Source organism: Homo sapiens, chromosome 5 (assembly GCF_000001405.40).
Source record: "Homo sapiens chromosome 5, GRCh38.p14 Primary Assembly".
Lineage (NCBI taxonomy): Eukaryota > Metazoa > Chordata > Mammalia > Primates > Hominidae > Homo > Homo sapiens.
The window spans coordinates 75496785-75524730 of NC_000005.10; the positions used below are offsets into that span (position 1 = coordinate 75496785).

General features: G+C 37.3%; 2 protein-coding genes across 32 annotated transcripts in view, besides 2 other annotated features; one reads left to right on the forward strand and one right to left on the reverse strand.

Annotated features, from left to right (window-relative positions):
- The window catches only part of CERT1 (ceramide transporter 1), a 143496-nt gene extending 128299 nt beyond the window's left edge, over positions 1 to 15197 (reverse strand). For 8 of the 9 annotated variants that reach the window (XR_007058566.1, NM_001379003.1, NM_031361.3 and 5 more), the window contains exons 1-2: positions 14328 to 14845; positions 9198 to 9332 (exon numbers count right to left, since the gene is read on the reverse strand). Coding sequence is in view for 8 of the 9 variants with exons in the window: in NM_001379003.1 (NP_001365932.1) it covers positions 9198 to 9332; positions 14328 to 14423 (231 nt within the window). In the remaining variant the exon portion in view is untranslated. Of the gene's footprint in view, positions 1 to 9197; positions 9333 to 14327; positions 14846 to 14974 lie in introns of those variants that run through there. The other variant, NM_001130105.1, reaches the window with a different exon arrangement.
- The window catches only part of POLK (DNA polymerase kappa), a 99218-nt gene continuing 85261 nt past the window's right edge, over positions 13990 to 27946 (forward strand). For 19 of the 23 annotated variants that reach the window (NR_170560.3, NR_170559.3, NR_144315.3 and 16 more), the window contains exon 1: positions 15107 to 15130. The gene's annotated coding sequence lies outside the window, so the exon portion shown is untranslated. Of the gene's footprint in view, positions 14286 to 15106; positions 15434 to 27946 lie in introns of those variants that run through there. The other 4 variants (XM_054328411.1, XM_054328417.1, XM_054328410.1 and 1 more) reach the window with 3 other exon arrangements.
- Positions 14202 to 14271: an enhancer, noted in NCBI's record as "active region_22680". NCBI's record gives its function as "activates an Ori minimal core promoter by ATAC-STARR-seq in GM12878 lymphoblastoid cells {active_cell/tissue: GM12878}" and the evidence as "EXISTENCE:reporter gene assay evidence [ECO:0000049][PMID:35858748]".
- Positions 15022 to 15401: an enhancer, noted in NCBI's record as "active region_22681". NCBI's record gives its function as "activates an Ori minimal core promoter by ATAC-STARR-seq in GM12878 lymphoblastoid cells {active_cell/tissue: GM12878}" and the evidence as "EXISTENCE:reporter gene assay evidence [ECO:0000049][PMID:35858748]".

Consider the following 27946-nt stretch of genomic DNA (forward strand, 5'->3'; position numbering starts at 1 on the left):
CACAGAGGGTAACTGACTACAATGGGGCAGAAGAGAACTATCTGGGAGGATGGAAATATTTTATATACTCATGTGGTAATGACTATATGACTGTATGCATTTGTGAAAACTATAACTGTATACTTTAAAAGGGTGAATTTGACCGTGTGTAAATTATATCTCAATGTGATTTTTTAAAAGGCACAACATATCTTTTTTTTAAAAAAAGACATAGAATAAGGAAAACCAAAAAAAGGTAGGAAACAATAAATAGATCAAAGAAAAAAAGACTATCAAGAATACACAGAAAACATATAAAGAGTTAACTATTTTTTTAGGTTGGTAAATAGAACTATTTGGTGGAAGAAAATTTCTGAACAGAGTTGCATGAGAATCTGTTCAAACATGACACGCTACGTATCCCGGCTCTAGTGAGTCAACTGCATCTTTGTCCCCCTTTGATAAAAGGGTCTGACAACTTCTGTTCTTTAATTTTTTAACTGTAGGCTTTACTCCCAACATAAACATTTCACAAAATAAATTTGAGAGACTACTACTATGTGCCAAGAATTGTACCAAGTACTTTTATATGTTATTTCTTTTAATTACATAATCATTCCATACTTAGACATTATCCCCCTTGTTTAATCAGTTAAGGAAGCTGAAAGCTCAGAGAAATTTAGTAATCTGCCAAAGGTACCTTTGGCTGTAAGCAGTGATATGGTTTGGCTGCATCCCCATCCAAATCTCATTTTGAATTGGAGTTCCCATAATCCCCATGTGCTGTGGAAAGGACCTGGTGGGAGGTAATTGAATCATGGGGGCGATGGTTTTATAAGGGCTTTCCCACCCTTTGCTTGGCTCTCATTCTTTTTCCTGCCGCCCTGTTAAGAGGTGACTTCCGCCATGATTTTAAGTTTCCTGAACCTCCCCAGCCAAGCAGAACTGTGAGTCAATTAAAACTCTTTTCTTTATAAAAAGAAATACCCAGTCTCGGGTATTTCTTCATAGGAGCATGAGAACAGACTAATACAGTAAAGTGGTACCGTAGAGAGTGGGGTGCTGCTATAAGGATACCCGAAAATGTGGAAGCAACTCTGGAATTGGGTAACAGGCAGAGGCTGGAACAGTTTGGAGGTTCAGAAGAAGACAGGAAAATGTGGGAAAGTTTGGAACTTCCTAGAGACTTGTTGAATAGCTTTGACCAAAATGCTGATAATGATATGGACAATGAAGTCCAGGGTGAGGTGGCCTCAGATGGAGATGCAGAACTTGTTGGGAACTGGAGCAAAGGTGACTCTTGTTATGCTTTAGCAAAGAGACTGGCGGCATTTTGCCCCTGCCCTAGAGATCTATGGAACTTTGAACTTGAAAGACATGATTTAAGGTCTTAAATTTCTAGGAAGAAATTTCTAGGTGGCAAAGCATTCAAGATGAAGCAGAGCATAAAAGTTTGGAAAATCTGCAGCCTGTTGATGTGACAGAAAAGAAGAACGTATTTTCTGGGGAGAAATTCAAGCCTACTGCAAAAATTTGCATAAGTAACAAGGAGCTAAATGTTATCACCAAGACAATGGGGAAAATGTCTCCAGGGCATGTCCGAGACCTTCATGGCAGCCCCTCCCATCAAACACCTGGAGGCCTAGGAGGGAAAAATGGGTTTCCTGGGCTGGGCCCAGGGCCTTGCTGCTTTGTGCAGTCTTGGGACCTGGCGCCCTGTGTCTCAGCTGCTTCAGCTCCAGCTGTGGCTAAAAGGGGTCAAGGCCACTCTGAGGACAGTTCAGGCCATTGCTTCAGAGGGTGTCAGCCCCAAGCCTTGGCGGCTTTCCCACGGTGTTGGGCCAGTGGGTGCAAAGAAGTCAAGAACTGAGGTTTGGGAAACTCCGCCTACATTTCAGAGGATGTATGGAAACACCTGGATGTCCAGGCATTAGTTTGCGGCAGGAGGGGAGCCCTCATGGAGAACCTCTGCTAGGGCAGTACAGAAGGGAAATGTGGGGTTGAAGCCCCCCCACCCCCACAATCCTCACTGGGCAGTACCTAGTAGAGCTGTGAGAAGAGGGCCACTGTCCTCCAGATCCCAGAATAGTAGATCCACTCACAGCTTGCACTGTGCACCTGGAAAAGCTGTAGACACTCAATGCTAGCCTGTGAAAGCAGCCAGGAGGGGGGCTTGTACTCTGCAAAGCCACAGGGACGGAGCTGCCCAAGGTGGTGGGAGCCCACCTCTTGCATAAGAGTGACCTGAATGTGAGACATGGAGTCAAAGGAGATCATTTTGGACCTTTAAGATTTGGCTGCCTGCCAATTTCTCCCATTTGGAATAGGTGTATTTACCCACTGCCCATACCCTCAATGTATCTAAGAAGGAACTAACTTGCTTTTGATTTCACAGGTTCACAGGTGGAGGGGACTTGCCTTGTCTCAGATGAGACTTTGGATTTGGACTTTTGGGTTAATACTGGAATGAGCTAAGACTTTGGGGGACTGTTGAAAAGGCATGACTGTGTTTTGAAATGTGAGGACATGAGATTTGGGAGGGGCCAGGGGCAGAATGATACAGTTTGGCTGTGTCCCCACCCAAATCTCATCTTGAATTGTAGTTCCCATAATCCCCATGTGTTGTGGGAGGGACCTGTTATGAGGTAATTGAATCATGGGAGTGATGGTTTTATAAAGAGCTTGTCCCCCTTTGCCTGGTTTGCATTCTCTCTCCTGCCGCCCTGGGAAGAAGTGCCTTCTGCCATGATTGTAAGTTTCCTGAGGCCTCCCCAGCCATGCAGAACTGTGAGTCAATTAAATCTCTTTTCTTTATAAATTACCCAGTCTCAGGTATTTCTTCACAGCAGTATGAGAATGGACTAATACACACAGTTAAGGTCTGAACCCAGATTTGACTTCACGGCCCATGCACAACGTTTTAAGCACTTCGGAATTAAGAGTTGCTTTATAAATATTTAACAGTCATGTTCCTACAACCCCTACACAAAATAAAATGCACCACATATACAATTTTCTTAAGCCCAGTGACGTCATAAAATAACAGATGGCAATCAGACTGGGGCTCTTGGCTTAACAGATACTTTGTGTTACGGGTTGAACTGTGCCCCCCTCAAAATCATATTATATGTTCAAGGCTTATCTCCCAGTACCTCTGAATGTTACCTTGTTTGAAAACAGCAGCATTGTGGATTTAATTAGTTAGAATGAGATAACAGTGGAGTAGGTTGGACCCCTAATCCAGTATGACTGGTGTCCTGATAAATAGGGGAAATCTGGAAAAAGACAAATACATAAAAAGAATGCCATGTGTACATGCAGACAGAGATTGGAGTGATGCATCCACAAGCCATGGAGTACCAAAGATTGCCAGCAAACACCAGATGTAAGGGGAAACTCATGAAACAGCTTCTCCCTCACCGCCAACAGAAGGAACCAACCCTGCCCACACCTTGATCCTATTTCCAGCCTCTGGAACTGTGAAACAATACATTTCTGTTGTTTAAGTCACCCAGTTTGTGGTACTTTCTTATGGCAACCCTAGCAAATGAATACATTGTATAATTATATAATTAAAATTATATAATTTTCTGTAAGTTATTTCCACATTCTGAAACCCAGATTTCAACAGGTGCCCTTTTTCATGTTTTTCTTCTTCCAAGGCCTCTTACCAAATATTTTAAGTACTTTCTACTTCACGCTATTTGAGTTACATTATCTGAATCATGTTATTGAAAGATGGAATATATTCTTTTCTAATGAACTGCTAAACAGATAAATTATGAGTTTCTCAAAGCATAAATCTTAGCAGATCGAAGAGTCTCATTTCTTTAAAAATTCACTGACAAATGCTCCTCCAATGAGAATTAACAACTAGTTTCTTATCTAGTGCTTTTATTTGCTGCATACCTTCCTCTCTTTCCTTTAGTTCTCACTAATACTGTTCAACATAGAAAAACTGCACACTTGAGAAAAGGCCTTCTTCTTGGATTTCTCGCTAATTTGGAGTTCTTATAATGACTATTTATGGCACTAATCATCTTTGATGATACCCAATTTGCTGAAGTTCATTTCCATAATGTAATTTCTCATTTTACAATTCCACATTCAAAAATTTTTTACATCTGACTACTATTTGGCACTTTCAAAATTTATGTTTATTTTTGTGGTTCTCTTCAATTTTGAACACTTCCTTCCCTTGCTTTTATATCTCCATTGTCTGTTTTTTTTGTTTTTTTTTTTTGAGACAGGGTCTCACTCTGTCTCCCAGCCTGGAGGGCAATGGCATCACCTTGGCTCCACCTGCGAGGCTGAAGCAGGTGATCCTCCCACCTCAGCCTCCAAAGAAGCTGAGACTACAGATGTGTACCACCACGCCAAGCTGATTTGTGTATTTTTTTGATGTAGAGATGGGGTTCTATGAAGTTTCTTTAATTTTTCCAAGATCTTTCAACTTCCGCTCTTGCAGCAACCCCCTACCTCACCAACTTGCCTAATCACTATTTGGACTTAATTTGTTTTTTAATCCAACAGTAACATTTTCATTACCTTTCAGTTTTCCTTCCAAAAATATTAAAACATAAAACTGGCAAATTTCCCTAAAACCAACCTATGATAAGAATAATAGGAATTCTACTCATCTGGTGATTTTAAAAGTTCAACAAGATATGAGGTATACAAAGGCAGATGCCTAAGGTGAGACATGAAACTACAGAACTTAGGAAAACTAATTCTATCTGAAGATATTATACCAAAAATCTCTACCTGTTTTAACTTTAGTAACTGCAAATAAATTACTTCTATCTTCACCAATGAATCATTAGCAGTTTAAGGAACTGGTTGATGAAATACCCACAATATAATTTTAAACAGAGGATAAGAAGGACAAGCCAAATGCCCAGAAGAGAGTCCAGAAACAACCTTAAATAAATATGGGACCGTAATATATGATGAAAGTGGTGTTTGAAACCACTTGGAAAAAGGTTAGTTATTTAATTAATGCTACCAGGATACATAATTAGTCATGTGGAAAAAAAACTAAAAACATCAATATCACTCCTTAAACTAAAATAACTTCCACAGGAATCAAAATTCAAGTGTAAATTTTAGATGAAAATATATCTACATTCATATAGAGAGATAGTCTTTGAGAGAGAAACACCTATCTAAACAAGTAAATACAGAAGCCGTAATAAAAGATGTCAATAAGAGTATGTAAAAATCTAAGATTTCTCTAGGGCCTAATATAGACTATAAAACAAGCAAAGAAGAAACAGACAAGTGACAATGTGGGGGAAAATATTTGCAACAAATGTGCCAAATGGTTAATTACCATATGAAGAGTTTCTACAAGCCAAAAAGGAAAGAAAAACCAAAAAAAAAGTGCATAAGCAATTGGAAAAGGAAAAAGAAATAAAAATGGGCTATAAATTATTAAGTTACTCAACCTCATGGATAAAAAGTGCAATTTAAAATAATAAGATACCATTTTAATGTAGCAGTTTGACAAATACTTTAACATTTGCCAAACCCAACTTCCTCAATACTTGCGGGTAAGGAGAAACAGAGGCACTCATTCACTACTGGTAGGAGTGAGGAGTGGTACTCTTGAAGGAGTATTTGACAATAACTAAAAACAAATTTTAAAGTACATATTTGTTTCAATAATGATTGTAATAAAAATTAGGCATGATTTAAATGTGCAAAAACAGGGTCCAGGCAAATAAATATAATATATCCACACGATTCAACAGAATATAACAGTTAATGTGTAAGTTGTATTAAAACAAGGTGCAGAACAATAGGCTTAATATGATACCATTTGTGTAAATATTTATGAAAGATATAAACAAATCCTTGTATAGTCCTACATATTTTCTGAAAGGATGACCAGAAATTTAAGTTTGGTTGTCCCTCAAGTGCAAGACTAAAAAGCAGCATGTACTTCTTAAACTTTTTAATGCCACAAATTATATTTTTTATCATGTGCACTTTATTTTAAAAATAGAATATAAAAAGTAAACAGTGTAAATATTCCATAAACATTTGCTTTTAATTGAAACAATTACAACTAACATATTCAGAATATCTACTATGCGGCAAATTTTGTAGCAGGGGCTGGGTCTTCTAAGTATCAAGCTATAATAACTGAAGAATTCAACTGTCTTTCTACAAACACTTATTCTACATACAAATAGCTCTTTTTACACAAAGTAAGGGAATACTATTTTTCCTCTCACCTACTTACTGTCAATCCTTTCACATTAAGGAATAAATTCTCTCAAGACATACTTTCTTCCTTGAAATTATTTCACCCACTTTATTATCACACAGATAAAGAATATTGTTTTTATAAATTAAGAGTGATTTAATCATTAAACTAAGAATGAACTTAAAATGGATTAGGCTCTATCAAGAAATGTGGGTTCAGATGCTAGGTCCACCAACAAATAATATAGTAATGAATGGTTACAGTAAAGTCACATCAACTCTTCAAGCCCAGATTTCTTTGTACGTGAATATTATCAATTTCATAAGAGTGCCATATAAAGAAATTAAACATTTACATTCTTTGTATTCTGACATGAAGTGACAATAGGCATAGCCCATATTTAAGGAAAAAAAATACCAAGAGATGCCTATTAAAATTTAATGAGGAATATTACTATTACATTTATTTATTTAACTAAAGTACATACTCTAATTTGTAAACTCATCCTGAGTTCACTGAATTCAGTTATATTTTTAATTTCCTTTAAATATGTAACATGGAGTCTGTGAACCCAAAGGGCAAGGAAAGTTCAAGTTCAATAATATAAATGCTTGTGTTTTTTCCTATCATCCATTTCATTGTATCTAAGACTACCACACAGATTTTGTTGCCTAATTCATCTTTTTACTTCTACTTTTATCTCTCCTTCAAAGAATTCAAATTGTTTCTTGTTCCTACGCATGTCTTTTACTATGTACCACAATGAAAGTTATGCATGTACATATAGCTATAACAAAAATCAATTACAATAAAGTAACACTGTTTTCTTCCTGAGAAGATGGATATAAATGTTAAAATTTAAATTTTTTGTTTAATTTAAATTAAACATTTAAATTTTTTGTTTAATTTAAATTAAACATTTAAATTAAATGTTTAATTTAAAATTTTCTTTTCTCCAAATAAGCCAGGCAACATTATTATAGTCCATAATTCAAGACAGAATAACTATATTTAAATCCACAGAAACTAGCATGGTACTCTAGGAATACTACTACTTAGAGAATAATAAAGATAAAATTTAATTCCTCCCCATTTTTACATCAATCATTATACTATTTTCAAAGAGTTAAGCATTGCAACTAATAAACATCCAATAATAATACGCAAAAGAAGGGGAGTGGAGGATCAAGGAAAAACACTTCAAGATCGCAAGGTACATTTCAATCCACTATTCTGTCCATTGATATGAATAATGATCTATCTCGGAAGAAAAACACCCAAAATATTAAACTAGATACAATTTCTAAACACATTACAATGTACCACATACCAGTCAAAATAAATACTGAGCCTTTATGTTAAAGCTATTTCCTAAAAATTGTCTCTAAGAATAGAGAGCGTAGTTTCATTATCAACACTTCCAAATATTTCTTCTGTGTTTCTCTAACTTGATATTCAATTCTAAACTTTTGTTTTCAAACTTTGAATATACAAGGGGGGAAATAATGTATAAAAAATAATGTAAAAATACTGTAAGATTTTCCCTAAATGCATAACAAACATACGCTAAGTAAGGATTAGATATTAACGGAAATCTGAAGTATTATATATATATCTTTCACTTTTATAAGCCAAATAAATTCTATCACAAAATGTGACTTCTCTTTGAGTGAGTTAGTAAACTCTGTATTTTTGTTTTAACGTACCCATTTTCAGATTTTAACTACAACAGCTCCCTTAACTGACCTCTATTTAACTGTCTGGCCTTAGCCAACACTTTTTTTTTTTTTTTTTTGGCCCATGGCATGCTGACCATTCTTAACCAGTATGCTATTTTTTGTATTATCAGGTACTTCTGTTCTCACTAGTTGGGTTACATGCTTAACAAGTCAGTTGGTTGTTCCCAAACCTGTTTATGCCAGTTTACTTGTTATAGTTCTTACATATCTTAAACATTATTCATGTCTAATGACTACGAGTGCAAAAAGGAACAGTTGTTTCTATATACTAAGTTAAATGTAAACTAAGTAGGCCAGGCGCGGTGGCTCATGCCTGTAATCCCAGCACTTTGGGAGGCTGAGGTGGGTGGATCACTTGAGGTCAGGAGTTTGAGACCAGCCTGGCCAACACAGTGAAACCCCATTTCTACTAAAAATACAAAAATTAGCCGGGCGTGATGGCACGTGGCTATAGTCCCAGCTACTTGGGAGGCTGAAGCAGAAGAATTGCTTGAACCTGGGAGGTCGAGGTTGCAGTGAGCTGAGACCACAGAACTGCACTCCAGCCTGGGTGACAGAGCAAGACTGTCTCAAAAACAAAACAAAACAAAACAAAAAAACAAAAAAAGAACAACAAAATGTAAACTAAGTAGAATGACTCAACGAAGGTGAGTTATTCTTTTAAAGGGTGTTGAATTGGAGAAAAGTGATGTAACTGCAAAATATAAGGGGAAATCATAAAAAGTTAGAAGGAGCCTATACTTAGAGTTTTTCAAAAGTTATCTTCAGGCTTTTATTCCACATTAGAGAAATCAAAACTGTAAATAGCAAATCATGTGTGAGGAACATGAGAACAGCTTCTCCCAACTCCACAAAGAGATGGCATTAGCTCAATGTTAAAAAGTTTAAAAATGAATTTACATTTATATTTTTAAGTTAAAATTTTAGAATGTTACTTACAAGATGTATTATTTTTAAATATTCAGTAACCTACAAAGTAACTGTCCCAGCCTCAACAAATAAAAAGGCTTCAAACATTTTTTTTTCCTGAAGCCCTTAAACTGGTTTGATATACCCACCAGATAAAAACTACATGTCTATGCAAAATAACAATATGTAGTAAAAACCACAGTAAAATCACTTTATGGAAAAAAGTATTAGAATGTATATTCTACAAGGACAAGGATCTTTATCTTATCCACGGATGTATCCTGAACACGTAGAACAGTTCCTGGTATGTAGCTGACACTCAATAAATATTTGTTGAATGAAGAAGAAAAGGAACTTACTGTGATGACAGCCTTGCTAAGACAGATGGATCCTCTGCAGCCATACTCTGTTTCATCTTCAGATTTGTAGTAACTCAGAGCATTATTTTTCAAAACTACCCAACGATCCTGCCACCCATGAATGTAGTTTGTCCACTGGGAGTGGGAAGGGGAAGGGAAGAGAGAAGAAAACAAAAAATAGAAGTATTTTAGAAATCCAAACTTTGTGAAACAGCAATCTAATTTTAAAACCAAAACGTGAAAAGTCCAACTTAATTCTAAGCATAAACAGTAAAATGATTACAAAAAGTGAAAAGTTGAGATTTTCTAGATTGCATAATGATTTTCAGTAATTTTTACAATATTATAAATAAATCTGTAAGAAATAAAATATAACATTTTCTTCTAACATTTGAAGAATAAAACGAAAGCCAGATTTTGGTTAAAATTATTGTTTATTCTTCGTATGCTTTCATCCTCTCCTAAGTACCTTCATGATATTTGTTTTGGTCCTTGTCATAATTAACATATTCAACAGAGAAGTATGTTCAGTTATGTATGTAGTCTCTCATTCTGACACCAAAGACTGCATGAAGCCTTCTAAATCAACGGAAGTATAAAGTCAATTATTGCTAAACTCTACTTTTGTTGTTATTCCTATATGAAAATTTATAACAGCTGTAACTATATCAAAATAAAAATAATAATCTTTAGTAAGCTGGCATCAACTTTAACTTTTCCTCTACAGAACTGAATAATATTAAAAATGGCCAATACATTTTCCAAGTTCCTCTGAACATGCATTTTTCAAACTCAAGAGTAATAAAACAAAAATAAAATTGCTTTTCAAAAACATATTGGATTGTCTTCAATACCTTAAGAGTTTCTGTGTTGCTAAAGTCTTGCTGCAAAGTGAAGATCACAATAAACTGGAAAAGGCAGAAATGTAACCTTTACAGGAATACTTATTTTTGCATGTTTTTATCTATGCTCTGGGGTGTTAAGTATAGAAAAATCTCAAAAACTATCTGCCAATTCCAAAAACTAATTAAAAATGGATTGCCAAAATATACTGCATTGGCTCAGGCTCTATATCCACTGAGAAATCTTTTATTTTTCTGTTCTCTAATTAAGCATTTTTGAGATTGATTCACTTCTTAAATTTTCTTTTATTTAGTATTTTCTTGAGACAGGGTCTCGCTCTGTCACCCAGGATGGAGTGCAGTGGCACCATCTCAGTTTACCGCAATCTCCTGGGCTCAATCCTCCCACCTCAGCCTCCCAAGTGATTGAGACTACAGGTGTGCACCCCCACATCTGGCTAATTTTTTGTAGAAATGAGGTTTCGCTATGGTGCCAAGGCTCGTCTCAAACTCCTGGGCTCAAGCGATCTGTCTTCCTTGGTCTCCCAAAGTGCTGGGACTACAGGTGAGCCACCATCCCTAGCCAGTTCTTAATTTTTCTAAGCCCCATCATTACAACCACTCTCTGAGAACTCACCCAAGCCAACATTTAACTCATTCTAGTGGCTCCCAATCACCATTTCCTTATTTCTAACTGCTTGAGATGTACCACCACTTAGACACGGGCTTGAAATAAATGATAGTTACCAATAAAACTGAATTCACCTTCCTATAAAGTATACTTCCTTCCTATTTTCCTACTTCCTTGGGGAGACTGCTACTTCTGCTCAGAGTTAGTGTATTAGATATACAAACAGATTAGTGGATATAGGATAAAATAGGCTCAACTATTTTATAACTCATGTGAAGAGAGTTTTGACAAGTTACTTTTGTAAACTTCAGTTTCTTTGCCTGTTGACTGACGGCCGAATAAAATAATGAAAATGCCTAGCATAGTCACAGAAGATACTCAATACCTAAGTGTTCCTTCTCAATATTTATAGCCCATTACCAAAAGCTGCTCATCTTTCCTTCATAGTAAACCCTTAAATTTGCCTCCTCTTCTCATTTTCAACTATTCCAATCAAATTATCCAGTTCCTGTATTCCTTAGGAGACTTAATAATTTTTTCTCTAGTATCTTCTGTTTTTTTCATAATTTACACAAGCTTATTTACTTACTAAGCATATTTGCCTACTTTTCTTACATTGATCGTATTGAGTCTCTAGCTCCAAAACTTACATGGACAACTTCCCACTGACTGTCATACAAATTGTTTAGGGCATTCAAGACCCTTCATGGATTAATCCTACCTCATTTACAATTACCACACTTCATAAGGCTAAACTTTGTGACAGTGGTCAAGTTACTTATTCTCTTTGTGTTCTTTTTTTCTTTGTCAAATTCTCTTAGAGTTAAGTTTAAACAAGAATAGACTTAGAACAGTGCCTGGACATAGTATTTTCTGAATCTGAGGAAGAGTTATACATAGCTAATGAAGCTTAACCTTCAGCATTTCTCACTAGAATAGAACTCTTTCAATGTTAGAGGAGAAGCCCCAGCAATTATGTATCCATAACTTAATATTAGTTCTTATAAGAGACTGAACAAACTGTATCAGCTTCAGGACCCTTTACTCAGTAAGTATTAGCTGTATCATGACACCTGGAAGACAAGTTTTTTGTCTTTTCTCTGCTCTCATAATGTTCCCTCACTCTTCCCCATTTAACAAATACAGATAAGGCAATATGCTAGACACTGCAGGGGAATCAAATATTACTGTGGCCAACAGGCCAGCAGACACAAACTCAAGAGAAAAAAATATATATTTAGAATAAGAGTCAGAAGCAAGCTACAAACAAAATGCTATGGGAATTCAAGTGAAGGAGGTCTTGAATGATGGCAAAATAAGAAAAGGCTTTATGGAAAGGACAGTATTTGGCTTGGACTCTTAAGGATGGACAGAATTTCAAACAGTTTGGTGTGTGGAAAAACAGAAGGTAAACCATGAAGGATGGAGGAAATTCAGAAATTGAATGAGATTATTTTATCCAGGCTTAGGTGCTCTCAAGTCCTACTAAGGCATGCATCTTTTCCCCACCATGATCCATCACGATACTTGCTATAACTAGATAGAATTATTGTCTATCTAGTATTTTTGGAATCTATACACTTAAGTGATTTATAAGAAATATGCTTCATAGGTATTTCCATGTATTTCAGATTACCATATGGAAAATACCCTTTGAACTGGTATATTTCTAATATAAATTTACCCAAGCCCATTCCAAATCCACCCCATTTTGGGGGAGAAACAAAATGAATTGTACCGGGACTTATTTACATTACTCAATGGAAGGAAAAGAACAAAATCCGAGTTCTGACCTTTGTTTAAATTACCAGGTGAATACAAAGAATTCAAACTATATAATTTACATTTAAAAACATCTACCATACTCAGTATGAGTATATATACTCAATTTAGAATACCCTTGATTAAAAAGCTTCCAGAAAACTGTATATAACCATAAATTGGTAAATCTCAGGAAAATTTCCTTCATAGCTTTGAGCAAGAATACCAAAAGCTTTATTCCTATTCATTCTACATATGCAGCAACAGTCAAAATTTAAGCTATTCACCTTCCATAGAGGTGATCAAATACATTTGTATGCATTTAAATATCGAGATTGGTCTTCCATTTTTTTATCTATAGTATACCTACTCCAGAGCACTGGTTACTTTTTCCCCCGGTCACTCCACTCCCCCAACCCCCAAAAAAGTAATTATCAGTAGGTCAAAAGTACAATTTGTTTCGTAAAATACTTAACACATCACAATACTAATATGGCAGTCAGCTTCCCATCTTATGAGCAGTGATGAAACTACCAAAATCACTGAGAAGCAAGTAACCCACTTCCTATTACCAACTGAAAATGTATACCTACTACACAATGTGTTCAATAGAGATTCCTAAATTACAGGATACATTTAATCTAAAGAAATCCTGAGGAGCTTCTCGTTACTGAAAACCTTGCACTGAAATTTCAAGAATGATCACAGCATCAATATACAACATAATTTTGCTGCTATACAAATAAAAGTCAACACTTGCAATCCTTAGTTCTGACTACTCATGCCTTTCCTGGCCCCCTTCTCATTAGCTTTCTAGACATTATAAAAGCCTAATATGAAACAATTCCACAAATAATGTCCAAGTGATTTGCCAAATATGAATACTGGAAACAGGGTGATTTCTTAATAGCCACTGGCTGCACATGACATAGTATCTTATGACCAGCTTGTTGAGGGACTGGCCCAGCTCCCCCTCTCCAAGTTAACTGCTAGCTCCAGCCATGTCTAAAAAAGTTTAACAGGAAGGGAGAGAGAAGTCAAAAAGGCTACGTGAATCTTCTTACAGCAAAAACTTAAAAAAAAAATCCCCACAACTATGTAATATCAAGAGATCATCCACCTGCAGTCCTATAATGACTGCTTTGCTAAAATTTTGATACAGGGATTTTAAAAAATATATAAAAGATAAAACATCTTTTCCTTACCCTCGACCCCTTACCGCAAAAATATTTTATTATTAAGTAATGCTCTTCCTGGACTAAAGATCAGTCTCCATTCTCACATGTTCCAAGTTACTATGAATATTTCCTGTACCCATCATGTGCCGATTCAATATCTCTATTCTGAACTAAGGTACAGGGTGAGGGAGAAAGTCCTCCACATTCATCTGTCTCACTACATCTAACCTAGCAGAATTCAACACCTCAAATTTCAACACCAAGCTGAGTCGCTCCAGCTTCTGTCGAAAGAGTTGCGTCCGCAGTGCCCCCCAACCTACTCGGCTTGGCATCCTCAGAGAGACCAACCTCTTTTAAGAGGTCCGACTTGAACCGCTCCCATGCCCAGTCGTTCGGACACCGCTGAAGCCCAACCCGGATTCCTTACACCCGGGACAGCTGCCGCCCTAAGTCCCAAGTCACGGCGCGCATCTGGCCTCCCAAACTGGATCTCAGGTTTATACACCCTTTCCCTGGTCCTCGGCTGCCCCCGACGAGCCCCCGGGCAACAAGGACAGTGCCCCTATATCCCCGCCTCATCCCTAGTCGCTGCAGCAACACTCAGCCTCGCACCCCGGCACGTTCCGCGCCTCCCGCCAGCCCCACCCCACCGCCTCAGCGGATTGCCTCGCTGCAGGTGAGTCTGGCCAGGGGTCCCTTGGCACCAGGGGTTGCTCACCTTACTGAGGACCCCGCAGCGCTCCACAGGCGGCCCAGACTCCGTCTCTGGATCCTCCTCCGAGCCCGACGAGTTCCAGCTCTGATTATCCGACATGGAGGCTCGACAACCGAGCAGGAGACCGGCCCCCGCTCCCTCAGCTGCGCCGGAGGAGGCGCCCAGTCCTCGGGGTGAAGGGTCGGGGGATGGCGAAGCGAAGAGTGCCCGCTCCGGTGTGGGGGGGAGCAGGAGGAGGGACGAAGTCCGCCCGCCGCGCCGCCGCCGCGCCTGACACCGAGCGGAGCGAGGAAGGAGGACGAGCGGTGAAGGAAGCCTACCCTTCCAGCCGTCAGCCGCCGCCGCCGTCGCCGTGACCCCTGCGTTGCGCCCGGCGCTGCCACCCGAACTTAGCCCCCTCGATGCCAATTTCAAATAGGGAAGGAAAAGGGAAAAGAAGGGAAGAGAAAATCCGGCCGCTGAGTCCCGCGTCCACTCACACCTCCGCTACCGCCGCCATCTTCCTGCCTGGCCCACTATTTACCCTCCCCTCCCCTGTCCTTTCCCCTCCCCTTCGTCCTCCCATTCTCCCCCACTACTCCCCGCCCCGTCCCCCTCCCGGCGTCTGACGCGACACGCCGAGCCTTCGGGATCCTCCTCCCGAACCCTACCTCCGGCTCTCCCGGGTGACGACGGGTAGAAAAGCAGGAGGAGCGGAGAAAGGAGAGGGCGGGGTAGGGATGCAGCTGTGCTGCATTCTGGGAAGGGCGTTGGTCCGTCGCTCGCGCAGCCTCCTGGGAGTTGTAGTCGCGATCCTGAGGTAACGGGTGAGTATCCCGCGCGGGGATCGCTTGTCCCCTTGGGGCCTTGTCAGTCGGTGGGTGGGCTTCGTTTGACAGTTGCGTGACCAGCCCCTCGGCCTCGCTTCTATCCTTGCCTTGTGTGTTTATGACGAACCCTCCGGGCTTGCGGGCCCAGACGTGAGAGAGCTTTCCGCTGAAGATGACGGGCCTGCTTTCCAGGGCGGCTTGTCGAAAGCCCGGGAGCATCTGGCCGCTTCCGCCTCAACCATGGGCTGGGGTTTTGTGAGCTACTAGTGCCAAGGGTTTTCTTTCCACCAGACCACCGCTGTAAATCTCGAGGGTCTTACTCATTAGAAGTTAGAATTCACATTTGACGTTTAAAGGAAGAATTTCCTTAGTACCTTCTCACAAGCACGCACTTCGCATTTTTAGATTTCTAGAGTTTGCTTTGTAGAAAGTAATTTTGAGGTTGTCAGAGAATAAATGACGTTAGAAAGGTTTTTAAAGTAAAACAAGAATGTGAGATGATAGCCTGGGATTTTCTCTTGGTTGTAAATGAATATCTTACTGAGAACCACGTTAACCATGCCTGCCCCTCAAAGATAGGAAAGGTTGGATATATAGAAACTTTCTCGTATTAGAAATACCGAAGTGCAGTGGTTTTGTGTGTACAAGGGATTAGGCAATAGGAGGCTATTTTTGTTTTAAGACTAGGGTTGAATTAGCAGAAAGACCAATAGAAGATCTAACAACTCTTGTCAGTTGTCAAGGATAACTTTGATTATGAGACTTTGACTTTGTAGCTTCAGTAATTTCCTCTCGTTAGCTATTTTAATATAGTCGATTTCCTTGTAATTGCCAAGAGTAAAATTTGTTATTAAACCTTAGAAAGAGTACTTTCTTACTACAAGGATGGGACGATAGGAGCGAAATTTCGAGTCTAAGGGAAAACGCTGGCCGAGTGTGGTGGCTCACGCCTGTAATCCCAGCACTTCGGGAGGCCGAGGTGGGTGGATCACCTGAGGCCGGGAGTTTGAGACCAGCCTGGGCAACAAGGTAAAACCCCGTCTCTACTAAAAATACAAAGATTAGCCGAGCATGGTGGTAGGTGCCTGTAACTCCAGCTCTTTATATCCTGGTTTCAAATCTAGGCTTGATGACCTTCTCCCATATCCCAGTATCATATTTTTTTCTTCCTGCATGGGGGATTAATTACGATTCTGAATGGTTGGTAGCATGAAGCTAGGTTATCCCTATCGTGGCAATGGATATTTAAGTAGGCATTGCCAATATTTATCTTGCTTTCTTTTACTTTCTTCTTTTTCTGACCATCCACACTCCATTTATATTGATGAGTTCTTTTACTAATATCAATTATTATTATATTATGCTCATACTGCCATGTCTTATTCTGCAGCTTTGATCCTTAAGGTGACTTTGCATATCTGTCTAGGACTCCTTTATCTGTTGATTTTTACCATTTAAGTCTCCAAAGACAGCTGTATTTTTGGAAAAGTGGGAGGGAAGAGGTAGATGGGGATACTCATTGATACCTTAATGCACTTCACAGCTGCTTGAGAATATGTCAGATCTCATAAAAAGTTCTAACATTCGAGAATAAGACAGTGATTTCAGAAATGGAATTTCAAAGGGTGTGTAGGCCACCCTTTTTATCCTGTTTCCTATTGTAGAAATGAGAGCCAGGCTAGGAATGTTTCAAGCAGAAATATTCTTACTATTCAATGAAATTGAAAATGTATTCCCATATCTTTTACTCCTATCTGTTTGGTTTATGGGATAAAAACTTGTTAGAGTAGTTGGTATTTCATAGGCTTCACTATAACATTGGAAAATCTTTTAGTCTAAAAAGCACACAGTACGGTACACCAATGAACAGTATTAGTGCCCACTCTTGGCATGTACACATGTTCTTTCTGTCGTTTTTATTTTGCTTAGCTTTTGAGTCTCTTCCTGTTACTGTGAGAAATTCTTTTATTAATATTTTAAAGGCATACTATATAAAGCAGTGTGGTGGTATATTAGGTATCAGTAGAATCCTCTTGATAGTTATTTAGTAAACGTGTTTTGCTTCCTGTTTTTTTCTAACCTTTTTATTGTTTCACTTCTACTATAATTTCACATCCTTTTCTTCTTAGTCAAATAAGTTGAAAAAATATATTTTTATAGAACATGTTGCTATGGTGATAGTTTATGAAAATATACTTTATCCCTGTTTAAGATCTTTATTAAGATCTTGCTATATGATAATCTGACTGGGGTGCTATAAAAGTAAGATATAAACCACTTCTTCTGTAGATTCATTGTTTTCTAGCATTTTTCTGTCTAGGTATTCTGACAATAATTATGTGTAGAGAGTGAATAAATATTTAAAATTGTGTGTGACATAGGAGGTTTTCAGTAAATAATAACTGATGAATGAAATAAGTTTAACTTGGTTGATGATTGAAGAGAAGTTGTGGGAACTGCAATTAACAAGGCCCAAGAAAAAAATCACTAACATGATTAAAATTGGTCAGACACCAAAGAACCAAATAACATCATAGCCTTTTGTAAGTAGCAATTATCATTTGCCAAAGGCCTACAAAATGTCAAACATTGTTTTAGGTTCATTTGATTTATTCGCTCTTCACAAAAATCCTGCAAGGTAGACATTATTCTTACTTTACATATGAGGAAATTAACATTCAAAGAAGTTAATTGCCCAGATCATCGCTAGTGAATAGTCTAGTCCAGACTTTGGACCTTAGGCGCTTGCAATACATAACTTTTAATACATATAGAATTGATTTTAGATTTTAGAAAAGTCACTCAGGCATAATGGCACATATCTGTAGTCCTAGCTGCTCAGGGTGCTGAGGTGGCAGGCTAGCTTGACCCCAGAGGTTTGAGGCTGTAGTGAGCTGTGATCATGCCAGTGCACTCCAGTGTAGGTGACAAAGTGAGACCCTGTCTCAAAAAAAAAAAAATTCCAAAAAACTATTATCCCAAATTTTTTAAATGATTAAACATTTGAGAATCTGTCAGAGCCAGATAGATTACATTCTAGGTGTGTTACATAGTTTTTCTTTAGTTTAACAGTTTTCTTAAAAGAAAATTCATCCACATGCATTTTTAAGGTGCAGTAACATATAGCCAGTTTACAGCTCTTTTCTTGCTAGTGTACACTAGCAAATATATGTTCCAATTACGCATAAATAATTTAAATGATCTCTGGAGCCTCTTGCAACTATCCCCTTGTCTTGTGTTGCTACTAAAAGGAAAAACGTATTGATTTAACCTTTGGTATTATCAGGAAAAATAGTCATTGTCATTTACTATCATTTTATTTTTTGTATTTTTGGTCATTTTATGAATAGTCCTGAGAAGCAGCAATAAAGGGATAGTGGAAAAACAACTTTATTAGAAATTATAATAAAAATAAAAACATAGCAAACCCAAATTTTTATTCCATATATTCTTGAAATAGGGAGGCCTCAAGCAATCCTCCTGCCTTGGCCTCCCAAAGTGTTGAGATTTGATGTGAGCCAACATGCCAGGCCCAATATTCTTTTTTTATGGCTAAATTCCATTGTGTATATAGACCACATCTTCTTTATCCATTCATCCATTGATGGTTGATTCCATATTTTAGCTATTGTGAATAGTGCTGTAATAAACGTGTGAGTGCAGATATCTCTTCAATGTATTGATTTCCCTTTTGGATATATACGTAGTAGTAGAATTGCTAGATCATACAGTAGTTGTATTTTAAGTTTTCTGAGGAACCTCCATACTGTATTCCATAGTGACTGTACTAATTTACATTCCCACCAACAGTGTAGCAGGGTTCCCCTTTCTCCACATCCTTGCCACCATCCATTATTCTCTATCTTTTTAATAAAAGCCATTTTAGGCCGCCCATGGTGACTGAGGTGAGAGGATCACTTGAGCTGCTCAGGAGTTTAAAACTAGCGTGGGCAACGTAGTGAGACCTCGTCTCTAGTATAATAAAAAAAATTTTTTTTAAGCCATTTTGACTGGGGTAAGATGATAGCTCATTGTGGTTTTGATTTGCATTTCTATGATGATTAGTGATGTTGAACATTTTTTTAATTTACCTGTTGGCCATTAGTATGCCTTATTTTGAGAAATGTCTATTCTTTTGCCCATTTTTAAATAAGATTATTTTTCTTTTATTGAGTTGTTTGAGCTCCTTATATATTCTGGTTACTAATCCCTTGTCAGATGGATAGTTTGCAGACATTTTCTCCTGTTCTGTGGGTTGTCCCTTCACTTTGTTGATTGTTCACTCAGCTGTGAAGAAGCTTTTTAGCTTGATATAATCTAATTTGTCTACGTTTGCTTTGGTTGTCAGTGCTTTTGTGGTCTTACACAGAAAAGTTTTTGGCCAGGCCAAGAGTTGTGCCTCATGCCTATAATCCCAGCACTTTGGGAGGCTGAGGCAGAGGATTGCTTGACCCCAGGAGTTTCAGACCAGTCTGGGCAACATAGGGAGACCCTACTTTTGCAAAAAGAATTTTAAAAGTTTAAAAATTAAAATAAAATTAAAGAAAAAAGTTTAAAACATTAAAAGTTTAAAAATAAAGTTAAATGAATAAATAAAATTAGCTGGATGTGGTAGCACACACCTGTGATCCCAGCTACTCAGGAGCCTGAGGTGGGAGGATTGCTTGAGCTCAGGAGGTCAAGGGTATAGAAAGCTGTGATTACACCACTGCATTCAAAGCCAGGTAACAGAGTGAGACCCTGTCTCCAAAAACAAAAAAACAAAATAAAACAACTTTTGGCCAGGCCAATGTCCTGGAGTATTTCCCAAATACATTTTTCTAGTAGTTTCATAATTTCAGATCTTACATTTAAGTTTCTAATCCATTTTGATTTGATTTTTGTATCAAAAATCAAAGAGATAAGGAAGAAATATCTGAGAGATAGTCTTATTCTTCTGCATGTGGTTATCCAGTTTTCCCAGCACCATTTATTGAAGAGACTATCCTTTTACCATGATGTGTTCTTGATTGCTTTGTCAAAAATTACTTGGTTGTAAATGTGTGGATTTATATCTGGGTTCTCTATTCTGTTCCATTTGTCCATGTGTCTATTTTCTTGCCAGTATTATGGTCATTTGGTTACTATAGCTTTGTAGTATATTTTGAAGTCAGATAGTGTGATGCCCCAAGCTTTGTTCTTTTCCCCTAGGACTGCTTTGGCTATTCAGAGTCTTTTTGTGGTTCTATATACGTTTTAGGATTCTTTTTCTATTTCTGTGAAGAATGTCACTGGTATTTTGATAGAGATTGCATTGAATCTGAAAATTGTTTTGGGTAGTATTGTCGTTTTAACAATATTCTTCTAATTCCACAAGCTTAGAATATCTTTCCTTTTATTTGTGTCTTCAATTTTCTTCATCAGTGTTTTATAGTTTTCTTTTACAGATCTTTCACTTAAGATAATTGCTTCGTATTTTATATTATTTGTAACTATTGTAAATGTTATGCTCTAACAGCAAACAACATGAAAAATAAATCAAGAAAGCAATCTAAATAAAAAAAAGTCTGTACTGACTTTTGTATGTTAATTTTGTATCCTGACACTTTACTGAATTTGTTTATCAGTTCTTAACAGCTTTTGGTGGAGTCTTTAGGGGTTTTGTAAATATAAGATTATGTTGCCTACAAAGATAACTTGACTCCTTCCTTTGCAATTTAGATGCCCTTTATTTCTTTCTCTTGTCTGATTGCTGTGACCAGGGCTTTCAGTATTATATTAGATAACAGTGGTGAAGGTGGGCATCCTTGTCTTGTTCCAGATCTTAGAGGAAAGGCTTTCAATATTTCACCATTCAGTGTGATGTTAGCTGTGGTTTTATCACATGTGGCCTTTATTATTTGGGAACATGTTCCTGCTGTATCCAGTTTGCTGAGGGTTTTTATCATAAAGAGATGTTGAATTTGTCAAATACTTTTTCAGCATCTATTGAAATGGTCATATGTTTTTGGTTCTTGATTCTGTTAATGTGATGTATCATGTTTATTGATTTGAATATGTTGAACTATCCTTGCGTCCCTTGGATGAATCCCACTTGATCATGATGAAGGATCTTATTAATGTGATTTGCTAGTATTTTGTTGAGAATTTTTGCATCTGTATTCATCAGTAATATTGGCCTGTAGTTTTCTTTTTTGTTGTGTCCTTATTTGGTTTTGATATCAAGGTAATGCTGGCCTTGTAGAATGAGTTTGGAAGTATTCCCTCTTTAATTTTTTGTTTTGTTTTGTTTTGGAAGAGTTTGAGTAGAAGTGAGAATTAGTTATTCTTGAAATGTTGGGTAGAATTCAGCAGTGAAGCCATCAGGTTCCAGGCTTTTCTTTGATGAAAGACTTTTTATTGCAGCTTCCATCTTATTACTTACTGGTCTGTTCAGGTTTTCAGTTTATTCATGTTTCAATCTTGGTAGGTTGTAAGTGTCCAGGAATTTATTAATTTCTTCTAGCTATTCCAATTTGTTGGCGTATAGTTGCTCATAATAGTATATAATGATTCTTTGTATTTCTGTGGTCTCAGTTGGTATGTCTACTTTTTCATTTCTGTTTTTATTTATTTGAATTTTCTTTCTTTTATTTGTCTAAAGTTTTGTCAATTTCATCTATCTTTTTGAAAAAACAACTTTTGTTGACCTGTATTTTTTTAGTCTCAATTTTATTTACTGCTGTTCTTATCTTCATTATTTATTTTCTTCTACTAATGTTGGGTTTGGATTGTTCCTGCTTTTCTAGTTTTTGAGATGCATTGTTAGGTTATTTATTTGAAATCTTTCTCCTTTTTTGATGTAGACAATTATTATTGTAAACTTCTCTCTTGGTACTGCTACTTTTGCTTTATCCCATAGATTTTGGTATTTTGTGTTTCCATTGTCATTTGATTCAGAATATTTTTAAATTCCCTTCTTAAATAGAGACAGCGTCTCACTTTGTCACCTAGGTTGGAGTGCAGTGGTGTGATCATGACCCACTGCATCCTCAATCTCCTTGGTTCAGGTGATGCTCCTGCCTCAGCCTCCTGAGTAGCTAGGACAATAGGCATAACACCACCAAGCCCAGCCAGCCCAGGTATTGTTGTGCTGCCCAGGCTGGCCTCAAACTCTTGGCTTCAAACAGTCCTTCCACCTTGACCTCTCAAAGTGCTGGGATGATAGGCATGAGCCACCATGCCCTGCCAGGAACAAGTCATTTGATTTGAACTTACTCCAAATTAAATCAAACAATTAATTAATTTTTTGTATTGTTTCCCAGGTTCCTCTTGTTAATGATTTCAAGTTTTATTCCATTGTGGTTACAAAAGATATGTGATATGATTTCTACTTAATTGACTTTTTGAGACTTGTTTTGTGGCCTAAGATGTGGTCTGTTCTGGAGAATGTTTCATATGCTGATGAAAAGATTGTCTGTTCTGCAGCAGTTGGGTGAAATATTCTATAATGTCAATTAGGCCTATTTGGTCTAGTTTAACTCCCCTGTTTCTTTGTTGATTTTCTGTCTGTATGATTTGTCCTTTCCTGAGAGTAGGGTGTTGAAGTCTCCTACTATTATTATATTGCACTCTATCTCTCCCTTTATGTCTATCAATATTTGCTTTATAGACTTGGGTATTCTGGTATTGGATGCTTAGATATTAATTGTTATATCCTTTTGCTGAATTGACCTGTTTATCATAATATAGTGACCTTCTTGCTCACTTTTTGGAGTCTTTGACTTATAGTCGTATTTTATCTGATATGTTAGCTACTCCTGCTCTTTTCTGGTTTCCCCTTGCATGGAATACCTTTTTCCAGCCCTTCACTTAGAGTGTTATGTGTGTCTGTGTAGGTGAAGTGGATTTCTTGTGGGAATTGTATGGTTTGGTCTTGTTTCTTTATCCAGTCATCTACTCTGTGTCTTCTAATTGGAGACTTGAGTTCATTTACATTCAGTGTTATTATTGGTAAGTAAGAACTTATTATTGCCATTTTATTGCATGTTTTGTGGTTGTTTTGTACTCCTCTCTTTTCCTTTCTGTGTTCTTTTGTGGTTAAGTGATTTTCTCTGATAGTATGTTTTAATTAATTGCTGTTTATTTTTAGTGTATCTATTATAGGTTTTTGCACTGTGGTTACCGTGAGGTTTATTAAAAAGTTTTAGAGCTATGACAAGTTATTTTAAAACAATGACAACTTATCTTAGATAGCAAAGAAAAAAATAGAAACTAACAAAGAAATTTAAAAACTTCTACACTTTAACTCTATCACCCCTAAAATTTTGACTTTTTATTGTCTCAACTTACATATTTTTATATTGCCTGTCTCTTAACAGGTTGCTGTAGCTACGATTGTTTTTAACAAGTTTGTCTTTTAGACTTCATACTAGAATTATGGGAGGACCAAAAACAATTATAGTATTAGAGCATCCTGGGTTTATCTATGTACTTACCTTTACCAGAGGATTTTATTTATTTTATTTTTGTTTTCAGAGACAGGGTCTTGCCTTGTCACCGAGGTTGGAGTGCAGTGGCATAATCATAGCTCACTGTAGTCTCGAACTCCTGGGCTCAAATGATTCTCCCACCTTAGCCTCCCAAGTATCTGGGACTACAGGCATTTGCCACCATGCTCAGGTAATTAGAAAAAAAATTTTTTTTAGAGATAAGGTCTTATGATGTTGCCCAGGATAGTCTTAAACTCCTGGCCTCAGGCAGTCCTCCTGACTTAGCTTTCCAAGTAGCTAGTATTACAGGCATGAACCACAGTGCCTGTAATAGACTAGCAATGAGTTTTATACCTTTAAATGTTTTCTTTTTGCACATTTTTTTTCTCTGAGATTGAAGAACTCCCTTTAGTGTTTCTTGTAAAATGAGTCTGGTGATGGTGAATTTTCTCAGTGCTTGTTTGTCTGGGAAAGACTTTATCTTTCCTTTTTTGTAGTTGAAGGATGGGTTTGCTGAATATAATATTCTTCAATGGCAGTTGTTTCTTTCAGCACTTTGAAAATGTCATCCCACTCTCTCCTGGCTTATTTGGTTCCCATTGTGGAGTCTGTTGCCAAACAAATTGAAGCTCCTTTATATGTTATTTGCTTTTTTTTAACTTGCTACTGTTAAGAGCCTCTCTTTGTCCTTGACATTTGAGAGTTTGATTATTATATGCCTTGGGGTAGTTTTATTTAGGTCAAATCTGTTCGTGTTCTCTGGCCTGAATATTGATATTTTTCTTAGATTTTGGGAAGCTTTATTTTTTTGAATAAACTTTCTACTCCTGCTCTTGCTCAGCTCCTTGAATACCAGTAATTCTTAGATTTAGTCTTTTGAGGTGATTTTCTATATCTTCTAGGCAATCTTCATTCCTTTTTATTATTTTTTTTCCTCATCTATGTGTTTTAAAATAGCCTGCCTTCTAGCTTACTGATTGTTTTTTTCTGCTTGATCCACTATGTTGTTGAGAGCCTCTAATGAATTTTTTAGTTCAGCAAACGTATTTCTCAGTTCCACCAAGATTTGTTTGATTTTTTATTGTTTCAAACTCTGTTAATTTTCTCTGATACATTTCTAGATTGATTTTTTGTGTTATTTGGGATGTCACTGAGTTTCCATAAAATCACTATTTTGTATTCATGGTCCAAGAGCTCACATATCACTCTCTCGTTAGGGTTAGTCACTGGTTCCTTGCTTTGTCCATTTGAGGAGATAATGGTTTGCTGTTGTTTCTTTTGGATGTACATCTATGTCTTTGCATTGAAACATTATTTATTTATTTTAGTCTTCTCTGACTAGTTTGGTTTTTATTGGACATGTTTGCTTAGAGATTCTTTGTAACTTACCTGTTGAATTTCTTTTTTTTTTTCTGCTAGGTCACTCTGCCTCTTTTTTGGCACTAGATGGAGGCTTAATTCCAGCTTTGCCTCTGCCCTAGTAAAGGATCAGAGTGTTGCCTGTTAGGAATTGGGGAGGTCCCAAAGGTGATATCTCAGCAGTGTAGAAAGGCTGGCTAGGGGTTTGTGCCCAGGGGACCTGTGGAACGTACCTCCTACCTAGTGGTCCTGCCGAACAAGTACTCTGATTTGGTGTCTCCTTTGACTAAGTTAAAGAGCAGAGTTTCCAAGACTGGGAATGGTAGTCCTGCCTTCCCCATCTGTCTCTGAGTGTCCTCAGGGCTGTTTCTCCCTTTGTGTACTCATGATGCTTCCCATGGATTGGGTCAGGGACAGGTCTTCTGTCAGGACCCCAAGATGGTGGGGGAAACTGGTTGTCTACTTCAGTCTCACTTTTTCCAGTTTAGACACTGTGAGTCAGGGAAATTTTCCACATACTTGGTGTCAGGCAGGTTGTGGGGAGGGGTGTCATAGATATTGAATTCTGATTCTTTTTCTGTCTGCTTGGAGTCTTTTTCACTTTTTTGTGTCCCTTGGAACCATTTGATCTACATATTTGAGTTCTGGGCTATTACTAGCAATAATCTCAGCACCATATATTTGTTTTTGGTTTTCTCTAGTGAGGGAATGAAGCCAGCTTACTTCTACTTACTATTTTGGAACCCAAAACCGGTTTCAGAACTCTTAATGGTGTTAATAAAAGCCACTAAAAAGAAGACTGCAAAAATGAGGTTTCTATGCTTTTCTGCTTTCAAAGATGTTATACTGCGGAAAACATTTTGAAAGCTGAAGTATGATATAAAAATGATTTCTTTTCCTACTGGATCATCTTTTTAGGTGATTCCATTTTATTTTTAAATTATTTTATTTTTAGCATATCTCCTAAGAAATAATTCATGAGTAATGATTAAATAAACCCTAGGATGATGCAATACTAAAATACAGAGCATAGGAAAAACAGGATCCCTAAGATTCTATTATGCATCTTAAATTTATAAAGAGGATGAATACATTCATATAGTAATTGTAGGATAGAATCAGTTTTATTCTGTTAAAAAAAAAGAATCCTTTTTTCTTTGGAAGACTTCTAAGAAAATAAGATATAAAATATTAATGTTTACAAATAAATTTGCTCAAAGAAGAAACTCAAAGATAAAAGACACTGGTGGTATATAATGACTAATGTAACTACGTTCTTCAATTTTATTTTACAACCAAAGCTGAGCTGATTTATATTTCCTTCCCCTGTCTCAGGGTTAGCTGTTGTAATTCATTACAAAATAAGAATAATTTGCCTAAATAAGATACTCTTTATCTTAAAGGTCAAAGCACATCATAATATACTGCTAGTTGATTTATCTTTGTCCAATCTAGTAAAATTTTTTGCATTTAAAAATAGAAAATATTATATATGATGTATTTAGTAAACACCTATCCATTGGGATATCTGAATGTCATTTTAGTTAGAAATACCTAAAGTATTAAAATCATTTTTCAGGTTTCCACATAAGAAAGGTATGTCTGTCATGTAGATCGCACTGTAGAAATCAGTTCATAGTAGAACCATACTGTGTAAATTGCAATCTAAGAGAATTATCAAGGACCAAAGTAAAGTCAAGGGGATCAATGACTAATATGCAGTAATATTTACCTTAGCCCTCAGGCAGATATGTGAAAAGATGTGTAAAGTTAAGAAATACCTGTAAACTCCAGATACAAAGGCTTTCTGCAAACAAAGACCTTTGCTTCTTTCTAGGAATTTTTGCTGGTTTTACTGTGGAATGAGAACCCAAACTGTTTTGTGATTAAGTTAAACAGGTACATGATTCAAGCAGTAGGTTTTGTAGGTTATATTCTTGAAAGAAGGCCTGGGAATTTTTGAAGCCTTGGAAAGCCTTGGGTTTTTTTGTTGGTTTGTTTTTCACTTGAGAGTGTTTTTAAACTAGAAAACAATTTAAATATATGCGTGATGAGGATTCTGGGGAGGTGAGGAAGGCATCTTTGTTGCATGTCAGAGACAGATAAAACTTTCACATTGTAGGCTGGGCACCATGGCTTACACCTGTAATCCCAGCACTTTGCGGGGCCGAGGCAGGCAGATCACCTGAGGTCAGGAGTTCAAGACCAGCCTGGCCAACATGGTGAAACCTCGTCTCTACTAAAAATGCAAAAATTAGCCAGATGTGCTGGCGGGCACCTGTAATCCCAGCTACTCAGGAGGCTGAGGCAGGAGAATCACTTGAAACCGGGAGGCAGAGGTTGCAGTGAGCTGAGATTGCGCCACTGCACTCCAGCCTGGGTGACGAGTGAGACTCCGTCTCAAAAAAAAAAAACAACAAAAAAAAACTTTCAGATTGTAAAAAGGGCAGATAAGAGGAAGCAGGAGTAGGAGGATGTGCTCATAGAGAATATGAGAACCTGTTTCATCTCTGTACTTTGAAGGTAGGGGTGGACAGTTCACAGAATAGGTTTAAATCTAGGAACTGAGTCAGTCCCAGGTGCCTTCCTTAAATACTTGTGGGTTGAATGACTGTCTTAACCCATCTGAAACCAATCTAGGATTAAAATTTTAGAAGACAGTGGAGTTTAATTGGCTGCTCTCCTCTCTTAGGCTCTTGGAGAAGTCAGTGCTGTCAGCAAACATCTGTTTAAACATGTGGAATAGCTGTACTTTGGAGAGCAAAAGTTATTTTAGTACTTTAGGAATATGAAGTAAATTACGTATAAGTTTATTTGCTTTTAAATTTTTGAGAAACTTCTACTTCCAGTATGGAGAAGTAAGCTCTTGCACATGACTGAAAACCTAGAAAAAAAAAACAAAAAAATCAATTACTTGTGGGGTCTGGAACAAAAAACAGATAGATTTTGGAGGGTATCAAACTTTGACAAAGCAACCCTTACAGAGTGAGATTCTCATTCTTTG